Genomic DNA, 17,733 nt, shown 5'->3' with positions numbered 1-17,733 from the left:
CACAACTCTGGAAATTAGACGGTCCCCACTTCCCAGGGTTTCTTGTTGCTGTCTTTGGTTTGTTTAAAGACTTTTATAAACTAATTTTGTAAGGTCAGTATTTTTTGTTGTATGTCTCTATTCAATCAGTTTAGTGTTCAGCTAGTAATTCAACAGAGATTTCATTAAATGTCTGAAACAACAACAAAAATTTCCCAGGTTTTGCAGATGGGCTCTGTGTGTGCCTTGGGGTATGACTTCAACACTCAGCTGGGCAGTTTACAAATCTGCATTAGCCTTCACTTCCTGGTTGGGCCAAGCTGAAGGTTAGCCAGAGGTTAGAGCTTAGTTCTTCTCATGTCTTTTGTGAGTACACACTCAACCTTGAGCATGAGTGTGTCCTTCTGGATTCCCAAAAATATGTAGGAGATTTTCAAAGCTTTTGTTTCCCAAAGCATCTTACTCTCATCTTTCCTCCCAGGCTTTCTGCTTTGTCTGCTAGTTGCCTCAACTGTTATCCCTTGGGCCACGAGGCAGTGGCTCATATATTTGCCTTTATATAATTTTGACAAAATCTTCCAGGGTAGTACCTCTCTACTGGAGCATTCCTAGTTAGATTAAATAAAATTAAGACCTGTGAGCTAGTCCTTCAAAGAGCCACCAGACAGGCCAAAACAAACAACTACAATCCCCCAAGAACAAGATATTTTCTGTTCACTATGGCACCAGGAACTCACACCATTGCTAAGCTAGAGAATGAGGGTTGGGGTAAGTTAAAATGCCACAAAGCTCTCCTGTCTAGATTCAGCTGCTTTTTCTTTATTAAGCATTCACTTGGTTGCTGAAACCTTTGGTTATTTTCCAGAGTTTTGATAAAGTTGATTAGGACAGTTTTTGCCAGACTGTTATTTTTGTGTTGTCACGCCAAGTGTCAGGTTCCAGCCCATGCTGAGGTCTGAGGGGAGTGGGTGGACGGATGGCAGATAGCTGAAAGAACACTCAGGGGGCCATAGGCACGTAAAATATGGCTTTTATTCTCTGGCTGCTCTGTCTTTATCTTGGTTGCCCGCTCTGGCTGCAGCCCTTCTCAGCGGCTGGATCCGCAGCTCCTGCCATCCCCATGGCTCTCCCTTACAGGGTCAGCAGCTCCACTCTCTCTTTCTGGGTGTGAACCATATGTACAGCATCAGCAGGGCAATTGTACCTTTTACAGACAATAGTGGCTGGGAGCCAAGTATGAGTTTACATGAACAGGTTATATAACAAGTAGAGTTTTGCACCTGTGCTCCAAACTCACTGAGTCACACTGGCCCAGATATCTGACTCAACTCACCATAGCACATAGATTTTCCTTACACGTGTAGAGATAGATTTTTGGAATTTCTACTCTGCCATTGCTGATATAACACCTGGCTTGGTTATTCTTGGTCCTTGCATTTATATATAAGTTTTAGAAGTATCTTGTCAATTTCCACCCAAAACACCAAATGGTATTTTGATTTGGTGGCATTGAATATATAGATCAACTTGAGGAGAACTGATATCTTTACAATATTGAGTCTTCCACTTAATAAATATGGCATATCCATCCTTTATTTAGGTATTTTTGATTTCCTTCAGTAATATTATATACTTTTCTGTGGTGAGATCTTGCATATCTTTTATTATATTTGTCTTGAAGTATTTTATTTTTTATGCTTTTATTGTGGGAGGGTTTTTAATAATAAATTTCTTTTAAAATTATTGGACTATTCAGAAATGCTATTTATGCTTATCAATTTTAAAAGTTATGTTTTTTGAGGAACTTTAAATTTCACTAAAATTTTCAAATTCATTGGCAAAAGTTTTTTTTTTAATAATACACTCATTTTAATGTCTGCTGATCTGCAATGATATTCCCTTATTCATTTTGATAAATATTTTTAGACTCTCTCTATTTAATCAGTTTCAGCAGGAATTTTTTAGTTTTATTAAGTTTAAAAAGTCAACTTTTGGTCTTTTGGATCCTGTCTATTGTGTGTTTCCTAAGTCATTAATTCTTGCTCTTATTTTTATTTTTTAAATTCTAGTAGAATTTAACTACTAAGTTTAGATAGTTTTTTATATAACATATATATTTAAGCCTATACATTTCCCTCTAATTCTGAATTTAGGAGCATCTCACAAGTTTTGATATAGTTCCTCCATTATTCTGCTTAATTTATTTTTGGGTTTCCATTTTCAATTTCTTCTTTGTCTAAAAGAGGCTTAATGTTGACTTTATTTTTTAAGAGAAGTTTTGACAGTAATTTGCTTTTCACACGTAGAATATATGTCTTCCAGATTTCATTATTTCTGCAGAGAAATCAGTCAATGGCATATTTGTTGCATCTTTGAAATTAATCTGTTTTTAATATGTTCTTTTTTTTCCCCCCACAATTCACTGTAATGGGTCTAGGTAGAGAATTTTCTTTGCATTTATTATGCTTGGGGTTTAGTAGAGTTTATATAATCTGTGGATTGATGTCTTTTGTTTTGGAAAATTCTCAGTCATTGTTTATTAAAATATTCTGCACTCTTCTCTCCTTCTGGGACTCAAATTACACTTTAATAGATCTTGTCACTGTATCTCTGCCTCTTATCTTCTCTTCCATCTTTTCTATTGTTTTGTCTCTTCATACTTTCAATTCATCAAATTGATATATTGAATTCTTACTTTCAGTTTTATATATATATATATACGCTTATAAATATGTGTATCTATATATATACATTTTTTTTTGACACAGGATCTCACTTTGTTACTCAGGCTGGAGTGCAGTAGCATGAACATGGCTCACTGCAGTCTCAAGCTCCTGGGCTCAGGTGATCCTCTTACTTCAGCCTTCTGAGTAGCTTGGGACTACAGGTGTGCAGCACTCCACCTGGCTAACTTTTTTGTAATGATGGGGTCTCACTATGTTGTCCAGTCTGGTCTCAAACTCCTGGGCTCAAGTGATCTTCCTACGTAGACTCCCAAAGTGCTGAGATTACAGGCATAAGCCACTGTGCCTGGCTCAGTTATATTTTTACATTCTAGAATTTTATTTGAAGTAATTTAAATTGTCTGCCAATTTTCTCAATTTTTTATTTCCTTGAACATTTTAAAGTTATCTTAAAATTAATGTCGTATATCCATTATCAGGATACTCTGTGCTCTGTTTCTAATAGACACTGTTTTTCTTGGTTTTTAAACATGTAGTCCGGGGTTCTCTTGTATACATTTCCTTGTGCAGCTAAAATTTTCTGTTCCCCCAGATAAGATTTATGTTTTCTGGCAGGCATCCAGAGATACTAGTAGTCAGGGATCATCTTCACCTCTTCCACAAACCATTTATTTCTTACCTGGCATTATTTGTTTTGATAAATCTCCTTGGAGTGCAAACCTAAAGTAAGGGGGTTTACCAGCCTCCCCTCCTACTTAGTGGGCTTTGGGTTCTTATTTTGTCTCCTTTGTCCTTTGAAGCAATCAAAATGTCTGGCTCACTTCACAGCCCCTTAGCCTCCTCCTCTGGTGCCTCTAGGAAAAAAATGGCCATGAGTGCCGGGCTCATTGCTCTAGGTTTTCCTTTCCTCCTAAATATTCTTCACTATTTTATTAATTCTCCAGACCTTCAAACATATATTTCCTTAAATATTTTGTCTATGTTTTCTAGGTGTTCTTAGTGGAAATATTGATCTGAGTCCTTAGTTTGTTATTACTGGAATGAGAAGTCCACAAATATGCATCAATTTACCTCTAAGTGCCACATTACTACATCCTACAGGTTTTTATATGTAATATTGTTTTTGTCATCTACTTCCACTTACGGAAATTCCCATTTTGTTTTCCCTTTAACACATGGATGTGCAGAAGTGCATTTTTTTGTTTCCCAAAATGTTTAAAAAATAATGTTTTAAGATAGATTCCCAAGATTTTATTGTGGTCAGAGAAAATATCTGTCTTCTTTTAGAAATATGTGTCTTTCTAAAAGCATGGCTAATTTTTGTAAATGTTCCATGGATACTTGAAAATCTTGCATTTGTTATATTTGTTAAGTATAGAAATCAAAGTTCTTAATTTCACTGTCTGAATATTTTATATTTTTACCCATTTTGCAACTTTTGTTTGCTTCATGACAGTTTCTATCGGATGTGTTAAAATTTTCCATATTAATGTTGATTTATCAATTTTTTCTTGTATAAATTTCTCCATTTTTGCTTTATAAATTCAACATTTGTTGTTAGTTGTGTACAGTTTCACAATTGGTGTCTCTTCTTTGTGGATTGTTTTGTATACCATGTAGTTTTCCTTTTAATCCTTAATAAAATCTTTTGCTTCAAACGCTGTTTTGTGATATACATTGGAACTGTTACTAGCTCTCTTTTCATTAGTATTTGCATGGCATATATCTTTTGAATTTCTTTATTTTCTACCTTCTGTATTGTTTTTGTATTGTACATGTGGTTTCTAAATAGCATATAAATAAAAATTGTTTTTGAAATCTAACTTGATCACTTTTATTTGTTCTTAGGTGAGATATTTATACCTATTTAGGTATTTGCATTAATTTCTACTCTCTAGTTTGACTTTTTGGTTTACTATACTTCATTTTTGATTTTCTTTATTCCTATCTGCTTTTGGATGGAAATATTCGACTGTATATCCTTTTTCTCCTCTGCTTGTTTGGAAACTACAGATCATTTATCCTTTTAGTCTTTTCCCCTAAAATTTTAACACTTACATGAAACCACGAATTTTCCTAAGCGAATATAGTGATTCTATACTTCTTTTTTCCTCCTGAATATATCAAGAAATTAGCACTCATTAGCTACTGATTAATAACCTTCCTAATTTTCTAATTGTCATCTTGAATTCTACCTTTACTTTAAAAATTATTATGAAATAGTTAAGAGTCACAAAAGCGATGAAGTTAATACAACGCATATTCATGTATCCACAATCCAGCTTAAGAAATAAAACATTATCTACATGATCTGAGCCTTCAGTCTGCCTTTCCTTGTTTACTTCTCTCTCATTACCTAACCTCCACTCCCAAGGTCACTTCTATTCTGGATTTCATATAATTTCTCTACCTTTCTTTACACTTTTTAAAAAAATATGAATTCCTAAATAATACATGCAATTATTTGCTTGTTTAATAATTTTACATATTTTATTCTACTTCTTGAATATTTAAGTTCTTCTGAAATGTAATTTTTTTGCTCAATATTAGTTTGTGTGACATAGTCATATTGATAGACATTATTCTAGTTTATTCATTTTCATGGCCATAGTGTATTATATTACATTTTATGAATATATCAATTTATATACTCATTTTCTAGTTGGAAATTTAGGTTATTTCCAACTTTTATTATTACAAACAATGTTTCTGTAAATGTTCTTGACACTATTCACAGTAGCAACGATACGGAATCAACTTAGGTAGGTACTCATCAACAGTGGATTGGATAAAGGAAATGTATATATACACCATGGAATGCTATGCAGTCATAAAAAAGAATAATATGTTCTTTGCAGCAACATGGATGCAGTGGGAGGCCATTATCTTAAATGAATTAATGCAGGAACAGAAAATGAAATATCACAGAAGTCTAAAAGTTGAAATTATAAAAAAAGGACTTGAATGTGGCTTCTCATACAAATATGATTGATTTTTTCTCTATGATGCAAATTCAGTAGTGAATTGTTGAGCTATTGAAGATGCCCTCCGACTTTAATATATACTGCCAAATAATTTTTGCTTATTTTTTACTCCCCTTGCAGTATGAATTGTTTCCATAGCTCCATATCTTTGCTACCATTTTGCCAGTTGGATAGGTGTGAAATGGCATCTTTTCATGGTTTTAATTTGTTGTTTCCAAATTACTAGTAAGGCTGGACATCTTTTCATATGCTCATTGGGCATTTAGTTTTCCTTTTCTGATAATTCTGTTTGTATTTTTTGACTTTATTCCTTTTGGGTTGTTTTCTTTTTCTTACTGATTCACAGAAACTCTTAATAAGTCTGTAGTAATACTTTGTTGAGATTTCAGAACCAAAGGCAAATGTTTAGGATCATTTGATGATTAATTTTGTGTGTCAACTTGTCTGAGGCATGAGATATTTACATATTTGGTCAAACATTATTCTGGATATATCTGTAAGGGTGTTTCTGGGTGAGATTAGCATTTCAATTAATAGATGGAGTAAAGCAAATTGCCCTTCCTAAGCTAAGTGAGCGGGACTTAGCTAATCAATTGAAGACCTGAATATAATAAAAAGGCTGAATAAGAGAGAACTTCTCCTGCCTGACTATTAAGCAGGAACATCGGTTTTTTTCTGGCCTTTAGACTCAGACTGAAACATTGGCTCTTCTTGTGTCTCAAGCCTGCTGAGTTTTGGACTGGTACTTATACCATCAGCTCTCCTGGCTCTCAGGCTTTTGGACTCAGACTGGAACTACACATCAGCTGTGCTGAGTTTCCAGTTGTTGCCTGTAAATCTTGCAACTTCATACACACACACACACACACACACACACACACACACACACACACACACACACACATCCTATCAGTTCTATTTCTCTGGAGACTGCTGACTAATACAGAACATGAACTCCAAATGAAGAAATGGAATCCATCCTTAATTCCACGTCCAGGGACCAGGCCAGACCAGCCACTCCATGAAGGAACCCATCAGAGCTGGAGGCTACCTCGTGGATCTGAGACCCCTATTCTCCTCTGCCATTGTGTGGTCTTGCATACTTTTTTACCTACCTGGATGACATCTTGGAGAGGATTAGGGATAGAAAAAGGAGTCAGGAAGACTGAACTTTCATTAAAAAAAACCAAATCAGCTTACTGTAAAGGAGACATTTAAGTCAGAAGAAAATAATGTAAATGGGCAAGTTTAAACATCCCCCTTGTCCCTATTACCCAGAAGAGTGAAGACTCATGAAAAAGAAGAGATTAATAATAGAACATGAAGAGCTCTTTTTTTGTACATTTGATTATAGAGAGTAAACTGCAGTACCTTTTTGGTTATGTTAAAATCCTGTCTTAAATACCAAACAAATTTCAATAATTATTCCACTAGATTATTAAACTTTAATATTTTAAGCAATTTCTCCTTTGCTTAAATAAAATTTACAGCTACGTTTATGACTTTTGACCCTGTTTTAACAATAGCTAACTATTAACATATCTTAAATTTATGTAGTAAGTGATACCTGAATGTAAGAATTTATGCTCTACAAGGGGAAGAACAAAGGCAAATTTTAACAAAGAGATGTTCATATGCATTTGCATTATTAAAACTGCACAACATGAACTTACCGTTCTGAATATCCACTTTCCCTGGCAAACCTCTGAAATGCACCCATGGGATCTGAGCCTGTGCTTAGGATGAATACCAGGGGAGTGTTGCATGACATGTCTTGATACAGGGTAGGCAGGTCCACAGGTGGTGTCTCTATAAACTGTTTTCCAAGATTTTCTATCACAAAGTCTGTAAGAGCAAAAACCACCTGAAAGTTGAAAAGAAAAAAAAAGTATGTTGAATGAGGATCCTTCATAATTTTATCCTAATTTTCTCCTTCAGCTCCTCAGAGGTTGGTGTCCTGTGTTTTTGTACTTATTCTGTCTTGATTGGGTATACATCTTTTTATAGATATTGTTTGGTGGATTTGTTCACCAAATATCTGTGGACAGCTATGGTTCTCATGACTCACAAGCAGGATGAAATATTAGGTAAGAGGGAAGTCCCTCAACATTCACTCTATTTATGAAGCTGCTGTCTCCCCTTCCTTGCTTCTTCTGTCCTGTTTCACATTCTTGTGGACTTTACTTTCAGCCCCTCCATTGTCTCTTTCTGCATTATTGATCTCTGTTTCCTTGATATTCCTATCATCATACAATTAAGCATTACTATATTCCATCCTTAAAAATAAAACCAAAACAGAGATCTTCCCTTGATGGCAGCTACTTTTCCAGCCACTATTTCATTTCTTTGTAAGCACTCACAAGCCAACTTTTCAGAAAATTGGCTCCATTTATTGTCTCCCTTTCTTCATCTCATTCACTCACCAGCCTCTTCTGACCCTTCTCTGGAACCAACCTCAGCCTTGATGATTACGCCCAGGCCTGGCCATTTCCTACATCAATTTGGTTCTTTCACTGATCCTACCCTACCCTACCTACCCCATTCCTGTTCTTGCTGGCCTTGTCCCTCCCCAACCCATATGGAGCCTTTGTGTGAGATAGAAAAAGGTGTCTCCTCTTCAAGGGACTTTTAATGTGCCAGAAAGCTGTCATGATAAATACACAGCCTATAATATCTACAATGTGAATGGCTCCCCCATGGGTTATTCAGTGGACATCCTGCATAACTGTTAACAGCAGCCCTCCCCTTAGCCCTCCACTAGCTATCAACACCGTTCTGTCCAAACAAGCCTTATTCTGTGTGTGTGTGTGTGTGTGTGTGTGTGTGTGTATGTGTGTGTGTGTATGTAATGCTGTTGGGCAGGGAGGTGTCCCAACCTGGTCTAGGGCCATGGCCTTGGATCACACCCTTCTGTGGCCAACTTGGGAAAAGATGGTGTTCACATGCCTGTTCCTTTAAGTGAGGATGTATTATGGTACTAACTATAAAGGTGTAAAGGTCTAGAAGGAACAGCTATGCAATAGGGCCATCACGTTTGGAGCTTAGTTCTACTTCTAGTTGTGTTACTGTGTGGCTAAGTATAATTCACTTAACCTTTCCAGCATCAATTTCTTTATATTTTTTTTGGGTGGACACTCTTTTCTGTATAAATTTATGGGGTAAAAGTAATTTTGTTACATGTGTAGACTACATTAGTGGTTGAGTCACAGCTTTTAGGGTTTCCATCACCTGAATAATGTACACTGTGCTCATTAAGTAATTTTTTTTTTATCCTCCATCCCCTTCCCACCTTCTCACCCCTCTGAGTCTCCATTGTCTACCATCCCTTTCTCTACATTCATGTGTACATAATATTTAGCTCTCCCTTCTGAGTGAGAACATGTGATATTTGCCTTTCTGTGTCTTACTTGTTTCAATTAAGACAGTGGTCTCCAGTGCCATCTACGTTGCTGCAAGAGACATGATTTTATATATTTTTATGGTCGAATATAGTATTCAACTGTGTATATATATGACATTTTCTTTATCCAGTCATCCATTGATGGACATGTAGGTCGATTCCATGTCTTTGCTACTGTGAACAGTGTTGTGATAAACATATGAGTGCAATTATCTTTTTGATATATTGATTCCTTTCCTTTGGGTAGATACCTAGTAGTGAGACTGCTGGATCAAATGATAGTTCTTTTTACTTCTTTGCGAAATCTCTGCCAGGCATGGTGGCTCATGCCTGTAATCCCAGCACTTCAGGAGGTCGAGGCAGGTGAATTGTTTGAGCCCAGAAATTTGCGATTGCAGTGAGCTGTGATTGTGCCACTGCAATCCAGCCTGGGTGACAGAGTGAGATCATGCCTCAAAAAAAATTTTTTTAAATACTGTTTTCCATGGAGGTTGCACTAATTTACATTCCCACAAAGAGTGGAAATGTGTATTCCCTTTTCTCTGCATCTTCACTCACATTTGTTATTTTTTTACTTTTTAGTAATAGCTATTCTAACTGGGGTATGATAATATCTCATTGTGGTTTTAGTTTGCATTTCTCTGATGATTAGTGATGTTGAGTATTTTTCATATACCTGTTAGCCATTTGTATGTCTTTTGAAAAATGTCTATTTATGTCCCTTTGCCTGTTTTTTAATTGGATTATCTCTTTTCTTTGTTATTGTTGTTGAGTTCCTTGTGTATTGTGGATATTAGTCCCCTGTCAGATGCATAGTTTGCAAGTATTTTCTCCCATTCTGCAGATTATTCATTTATTCTGCTGATTATTTCTTTTGCCGAGCAGAAGCTTCTTAGATAATTAAGTCCCATTTGCCTATTTTTTGTTGCCTGTGCTTTTGAGGTCTTAGTCATTAATTCTTTGCCTAGACCAATGTCAAGAAGAGTTTCCCTTGGTTTTCTTCTAGTATTTTTATAGTTTCAGGTCTTACTTTTAAGTCTTTAGTTCATCTTTAGTTGGTTTTTGTATATAGTGAGAGATAGGGATCCAGTTTCATTCTTCTGCAAATGGCAATCCAATTTTCCCACCACCATTTACTGAAAGAGGTGTCTTTTTCCTATTGTATGTTCTTGTTGACTTTGCCAAAGACTGGTTGGCTGCAAATATGTGGCTTTATTTCTGGGTTTTCTATTCTGTTCCATTGATCTATGTATTTATTTTTATAACAGTGCCATGCTGTTTTCATTACTATAGCCTTGTAATATAATTTGATGTCAGCACTTCATTTATTACAAGGCTACTATAGCCTTGTAATATAATTGATGTCAGATAATGTGATGCTTCCAGCTTTTTTCTTTTTTCTTAGGATTGCATTGGCTATTTGGGGTCTTTTTTGGTTCCACATAATTTTAGGATTGCTTTTTCTAATTCTGTGAAAAGTGATGTTGGTATTTTTTAGGGTTTACATTGAATCTGTGGATTGCTCTGGACAGTATGGTCATTTTATTGATAGTAATTCTTCTTATCCATGGGCATCAGATGTTTTTCCATTTATTTCTGTCATTCACAATTTCTTTCTTCAGTGTTTTGTAGTTTTTTTTGTAGAGATCTTTCACTTCCTTGGTTAAATATATTCCTAGGTATTGGGTTTTTTTTGTTCGTTTGCTTTTTGAGACAGAGTCTTGCTCTGTCGCCCAGGCTGGAGTGCAGTGGCACAATCTTGGGTCATTGCAACCTCTGCCTCCTGGGTTCAAGCAGTTCTCCAGCTTCAGCCTCCCAAGTAGCTGGGATCACAGGCAAGCACCACCACATCTGGCTAATTTTTTGTATTTTTAGTAGAGACAGGGTTTTGCCATGTTGCCCAGGCTGGTCTCGAACTCCTGAGCTCAGGCAATCCACCCATCTTGGCCTCCCAAAGTGTGAGGATTACAGGTGTGAGTCACTGCGCCCAGCCAGGTATTTTTTTTTTTTTGGTAGCTATTATAAATGGGTTTACCTTCTTAATTTCATTCTCAGCTAGATCATTATCAATATCTAGAAATGCTACTGATTTTCGTATGTTGATTTTGTATTCTGCAACTTTCTAAATTCATTTATCAAATTTAAGCGTTTTTGGTGAAGTTTTAAATTTTATTTTTTGGATATATCATACTATACCATATCATCAATAAACAGGAATAATTTGACTTCATCTTTTTCAAACTGTATGCCTTTTACTTCTTTCTCTTGCTTGATTGCTCTGGCTAGGACTCTAGTACTATGTTGAAGACAGGTGGTAAAAGTGGGCATCCTTGTTTTCTTCCAGATTTTTGAGGAAATGTTTTCAACTTTTCCTCATTCAATGTAATGTTGGCTGTGAGGTTATCTTACATGGGCTTTGTTATTTTGAGATATGTTCCTTCTATGCCTAATTTGTTGAGGGTTTTTATCATGAAGGGGTGCTGAATTTTATCAATGCTTTTCTGAGTCTATTGAGATGATCATATGATTTTTGTCCTTAAATCTGTTTATGTGATGTATCACATTTATTGATTTGCATACGTTAAATCATCCTTGCATCCCTGGATAAAACCCACTTGATATTGTCTTTTTGATATTATCTTTATATTATATTATCTTTTTGATGTACCATTGAATTAGTTTGCTAGCATTTTGTTGGGGATTTTTGAGTCTATATTTATCAGGGATATTGGTCTATATTTTTCTTTTTTTGTTGTGTCCTTATCTGGTTTTGGTATCAGGATAATACTGGCCTCATAGAATGTATTAGAGAGAATTCCCTCCTTCTCTATTTTTGGAACAACTTCTTTTATAGTTTTTATTTCAAAAGGCCTTGATTATATAAACCATTTGCTTTTTACTTTGCTGAAAAGTGTTCCAAGAGTTTACAATGAATTACAATATACAAAACACAAATAACTTATTTCTTGGGGTTGCTATTTAAATACCAAAATGGTAACACACTCATGAAATGCTTTTGAACTTAAAAAGTTGGAGAAATATTTTTCTCGCAAACAGGACAAACTGTCATTAATATTACATAGTGATCTTGGTTCTCAGTGGCTTTATCACAAGCTATTGGTCTGTTACAAGCATATGTAACATGTGCAATTTCTCATGTATGTGAACTAATTTTCTTTATGAAACATTTTAAATATGCAGAAAATAAATGTGCATAAAACATACCCTCATGTGGGCTCTAGTCACCCAATACATATACCCAAGAACATGGTTAAGTACATAAAATACAGAAAGGAGATGCATCAGTTAAAGCCATGAAGAGGATTCCTGCAGAATTAGCATGCGGTTTCCTGTCCTTTGATTTGTCCCGGTGATAGTTGTCTCTCAGGAAGGTGGAAGGTGAATGATTCTCAGGTGGAAGAAGGGGCTGTACCATAGAAGTGAGTTATGTATGCATGCCAGCCCAAGGGTTGTATCTCACAATCATTGCTAAATGGTTCTTCCCACTTTCGTATTAGGTGGTTTAGAGTTCTCTGCTGTTTACAATAGTGTATTAAAGATCTTGTTCATACAAAAGATAACATAGTAACTCCTATCTTAGTTAGTCACTTCTTTGATTTTAGTTATTCTAGTCAGTATAAATGAACCAGGCCTGCTTCCTGATGTTGAAACCATCAGTGGCATAATGGCCTGAATAGAGAGTGTTTCCTTATGAACATGCTGAGATGGCAGGAGTATGGAAGATTTCCTGGCTTGACATTTTTGATCAGTTCTTCAGCTTTAGCTTTTGTGCAGTCTGTATATACATTTCCTGACTTTCAAAGTCCGTATCAGATCTCACTCTACCCAGGAAAGTCTTGCCATCCTGCAGTGCACTTGCAGTGGACTTAACTCTGTAGTTATGCTGAGGTCTTTCTCTCTGTGCTCCACTGTACTGTGCTGCTGTAGGTTCCTAGATAGTGACACTGACCTGCTTGGTCCTCAAGGGCTTCTTCATATCACATGGCTGGAACTGATCAACTTCTCCCTGTGCCTCTTTTGGATATTTTTCTGTCCTATTCTCATGGAGATCTTGATGGCAGTAATGGCAAGAATTTGCTGTGGAAATGGCTTGGATTTCTTATAATCTATAAGGCCTAGATATACAGGCATTTCTTAAAGATCACCCTCTGCAAAATCCCATGTCTGGATTGCGGGATCATTAGAGAATGGTCAATCTCTTCCCTCTTTATCACCAAGTTCTTTGCTAGGAGCTCCTCTCTCTTTTTTATAAAAGTAAATTTCCCATTATGATATATGTGACTCTATTATGTTTTGCTTAAAACCCTCTTTTTAGATTTGCTGTTTGATCCTTCACACAGTCTCTGACTGAAGCCCTCAGAGCATTTTTCAGTTTATCCTTTCCATCAGAAGCCATCTGGCATTTCCAAAGGCAATTCCTGGCTTCAGAGGAATACTTTTTTGAAGGTATTGATGGGTGAGTGCACAAATTCACCACTGAAAACTTCTCTGTGACTGGGAATTCCCTGCCCAGAGAAAGGGCATGGTTCTGTGTTTTCTTTGGATGAGAAGATAAGTTTAAATATTTGGGAATAAGGATTCCCTGCTCATCCTTCACTAGTGACAAATCTTATTAAAGCTATAGTGTATTAGGTGACCTATCAGAATCCTGGGTGACCTACTGAAATTGTGCATTATGATAGAACCCTTGTCCTTACACTTCTTAGCATCATACTCAAGTTCCTGAGACCTACAGAAAAAATAAGAGAATGTTAAGTGGAATAAGGAAGTGTATTTTTCCTTGTAGAAGGCTAATGGATAGGTCATTAAACAGGTTATGAGAATTACAGTAACTCAAACTTTAAATTGGTAATAATTATTGCATACTCTTGTAGCAGTATTATCAGCAAAAATCCATCAAAGTAAACTTTCTTTCTCAAGTTCAATATTAGTCTTCCACGATTTATTTAATTTTTCTGTCTTCCTTCACTTGATCCAAATAGTGGCCTAAAAATTCTTGAGAGAAACACTCCACATACTAGGAATATAGAAGAGAACTTCCTCAACCTGATAAGGGATAGTGTATGAGTCCATTTTCACGCTGCTGATAAAGACATACCCAAGACTGGGCAATTTACAAAAGAAAGAGGTTTAATTGGACTTACAATTCCACGTGGCTGGGGAAGCCTCACAATCATGGCATGGCAAGTCACGCCTTACATGGATGGCAGCAGGCAAAGAGAGAATGCTTGCGCAGGGGAACTCCTCTTTTTTAAAACAATCAGATCTCGTGAGACTTATTCACTGTCACGAGAACAGCACGGGAAAGATTTGCTCCCGTGATTCAATTACCTCCCACTGGGTCCCTCCCACAACACATGAGAATTCAAGATGAGATTTGGGTGGGGACACAGCCAAACCATAGAAGATATCCATGAAAAGTTGACAGCTAACATCATGGTTAATGATGAAAGACTGAATGCTTTTCTTCTAAGATCAGGAACAAGGCAAGGATCTGCTCTTATAACATCTATTCAACATTGTGTTGTAGGTTCTATCTAGGGCAATTAAGTAAGAAAAATAAAAGCATCTAGATTGGAAAAGAAGAAGTAAATTTATCTTTATTTGAAGGTGACATGATTTTGTATATACAAAACACTAGGGAACTCACTCAAAAACTATTAAAACCAATAAACAAGTTAGGCAAGATTACAGGATACAAAAATCAACTGTATTTCTATACAGTAGTAATGAGAAGGGAGAAAATGGTTTTAGTCTGTTTTGTGCTGCTATAATAGAATACTTGAGACTGGGTAATTTATAAAGAAAATAAATTATTTGGCTTATGGTTCTGGAGGCTGAAGTCCAAGAGCATGATACGGTATCTGACAAGGGCCTCTATATTGTCTCATTCCATGGTGCAGGGCAGAAAGGCAAGAGAGGGCAAGAGAGCAAGACAGCAAGAGAGGCCCAAACTTGCTTTTATAAGAAGCCCATTCTTGTGATAACTAAATCACTCATATGACAATGACATTAACCCATTCATGAGCTCAGAGTCCTCATGATCTAATCACTGCTTAACACTGCTGTACTGGGGATAAGTTTCTAATAAAGGAACTTTGGGGAACACATTTAAATCATAGCAAAAATTAAGAAAGCAATTCAATTTACAATAGTATCAGAAAGAATAGATTGCTTAAAAATAAGTTTAACAAAAGAAGTATAAAACTTCTTCTCTGAGAACTATGAAATATTGTTGGATAAAGTTAAAGAAGATCCAAATAAGTGGAAAAACACCACATGTTCATAGATCAGATGACTTAATGTTGTTAAGAGGTAAATATTCCCCAAATTGATCTTCAGGTTCAATGCCATTCTTATCAAAATCTTAGCTGGCTTCTTTTCAGGAACTGACAAGCTCATTGTAAAACTCATGTGAAAGTTCAAGGGACCTGGAATAGCCAAAACGATCTTGAAAAAGGAAAACAAAGTTGGAGGAGTCATGCTACTGGATTGTAAAACTTACTTCAAAGCTGCAGTAATCAAGATGGTGTGACATTGGAATAAGGATAGACATATAGGCTAATGGAATAAAATTGAAAATTCAGAAAAAAACTCTCACAATTGTAGTCAACTGATTTTCAGCAAGGCTGCCAGAATCATTCAATGGGTAAGGAGTAGTCTTTCAACAAATGATGCTGTGACAACTGGTAGCAACATGCAAAAGAATGAAGTTGGGGCCAGGCGTGGTGGCTCAGGCCTGTAATCCCAGCACTTTGGGAGGCCAAGGCTGGTGGATCATCTGAGGTCAGGAGTTCGAGACCAGCCTGGCCAACATGGTGAAATCTGTCTCTACTAAAAATACAAAAAGATTAGCCAGGTGTGGTGGTGGCCACTTGTAATCCCAGCTACTTGGGAAGCTGAGGCAGGAGAATTGCTTGAACCCAGGAGGTGGAGGTTGCAGTGAGCCGAGATCGTGCCATTGCACTCCAGCCTGGGCGACAAGGGCAAAACTCCGTCAAAAAGAAAAGAAAAGAAAAAAAAAGAATGTTGGACTCTTACTTCACACTTGACATCATATACAAAAATTAACTCAAGGCCAGGCGTGGTGGCTCACACCTGTAATCCCAGCACTTTGGGAGGCCAAGGCAGGTGGATCCTGAGGTCAAGAGATGGAGACCATTCTGGCCAACATGGTAAACCCCATCTCTACTAAAAATACAAAAATTAGCTGGGCGTGGTGGTGCACACTTGTAGTCCCAGCTACTTGGGAGGCTGAGGCAGGAGAATCACTTGAACCTGGGAGGTGGAGGTTGCAGTGAGCTGAGATTGTGCCACTGCACTCCGGCCTGGCGACAGAGTGAGACTATGTCTCAAAAAAAAAAAAAAAATTAACTCAAAATGTATCAAAGATCTAAATGTAAGAGCCAAAACTGTACTTTTTTTTTTTTTTTTTTTTTTTTAACAGAGTTTCACTCCTGTTGCCCAGGCTGGAATGCAATGGTGTGATCTTGGATCACCACAACCTCTGTCTCCTGGGTTCAAGCCAATCTCCTGCCTCAGCCTCCTGAGTAGCTGGGATTACAGGTATGCACCACCACACCTGGCTAATTTTGTATTTTTAGTAGAGACGGGGTTTCTCCATGTTGGTCAGGCTGGTCTCGAACTCCCGACCTCAGGTGATCTGCCTGCCTTGGCCTCCCAAAGTGCTGGCTAAATTCTCAGAAGAAAACATAGGTGTAAATATTTATGACCTTGGATTAGGCAATGGTTTCTTAGTTGTGACATTAAAAGCACAAGCAACAGAAGAAAAAAAAATAGATAAACTGGACATCATCAAAATTAAAAGCTTTTGTGCTTCAAAAGGACACTACCAAGAAAGCGAAAAGACAGCCCATAGGATGAGAGAACATTCTTGCAAATCATATATCTGATAAGAAACTTGTAGCTAGGATATTAAAAAAAACCTTTTACAACTGCATGATAAAAAGACAAATAATCCAGTTTAAAATGGTAAAGAATCTGAATAGACAGTTCCACAAATAGCCAAAAAGCACAAGAAAAGATGCTCATTATCATTAGGGAAATGCAAATCAAAGTCATAAGGTACCATCTCACACCCACTAGGATGGCTATAATAAAAAAGATAATAACAAATGTTGTGAGGGTGTGGAGAAATTGGAACCCTCATACACTGATGGTGGGAATGTAAAATGATACAGCCTTTTAGGAAAACAGTCTGGCAGTTCATCAAAAAGTTAAACATACCATATAATGCAGCAATTTCACTAAGTAAATACATAAGATAAATTAAAACCCATGTCCACACAAAAACTTGTACACAAATGTTTATGGCAGCATTATTCATAATAGTCAGAAAGTGGAAACAACATAAATGTTCATCAACTGAGAATGAATATATAAAATGTGGCATATCCACGCAATAGTATATTATTTGCAATAAAAGGGAATGAAGTACAGACACTTGATACAACAGAGACGAATCTTTAAAATATTATGTTAAATGAAAGGACAGGATACAAAAAAAACAGAATAGGCAAATCTGTAGAGACAGAAGTAGACTAGTGTTGGTGATGATGGCACTGGGGGATGACGGCTATGGGTATGGCGTTTTTTCGGGGGGTTATTAAAATGCTCTAAATTGTGATGGTTGCACAACTCTGTG

The 17,733-nt window shown here is 36.6% G+C and overlaps 1 protein-coding gene and 1 pseudogene across 12 annotated transcripts in view; both read right to left on the bottom strand.

Annotated features, from left to right (window-relative positions):
* DNAH6 (dynein axonemal heavy chain 6) overlaps positions 1-17,733 on the bottom strand; it is a 360,018-nt gene that overhangs the window by 49,324 nt on the left and 292,961 nt on the right. For all 12 annotated transcript variants that reach the window (XM_011532650.4, XM_011532649.3, XM_006711956.3 and 9 more), the window contains one exon: positions 7,321-7,511. In XM_011532650.4, the coding sequence (XP_011530952.1) occupies positions 7,321-7,511 (191 nt within the window). The remainder of the gene's footprint in view (positions 1-7,320; positions 7,512-17,733) is intronic.
* LOC100420432 (ubiquitin specific peptidase 26 pseudogene) lies at positions 12,591-14,070 on the bottom strand (annotated as a pseudogene).

This window comes from Homo sapiens, chromosome 2 (genome assembly GCF_000001405.40).
Source record: "Homo sapiens chromosome 2, GRCh38.p14 Primary Assembly".
Classification (NCBI taxonomy): domain Eukaryota; kingdom Metazoa; phylum Chordata; class Mammalia; order Primates; family Hominidae; genus Homo; species Homo sapiens.
Note: the sequence above shows the minus strand (reverse complement) of the source record. Positions and strands in the feature narration are given on the sequence as shown.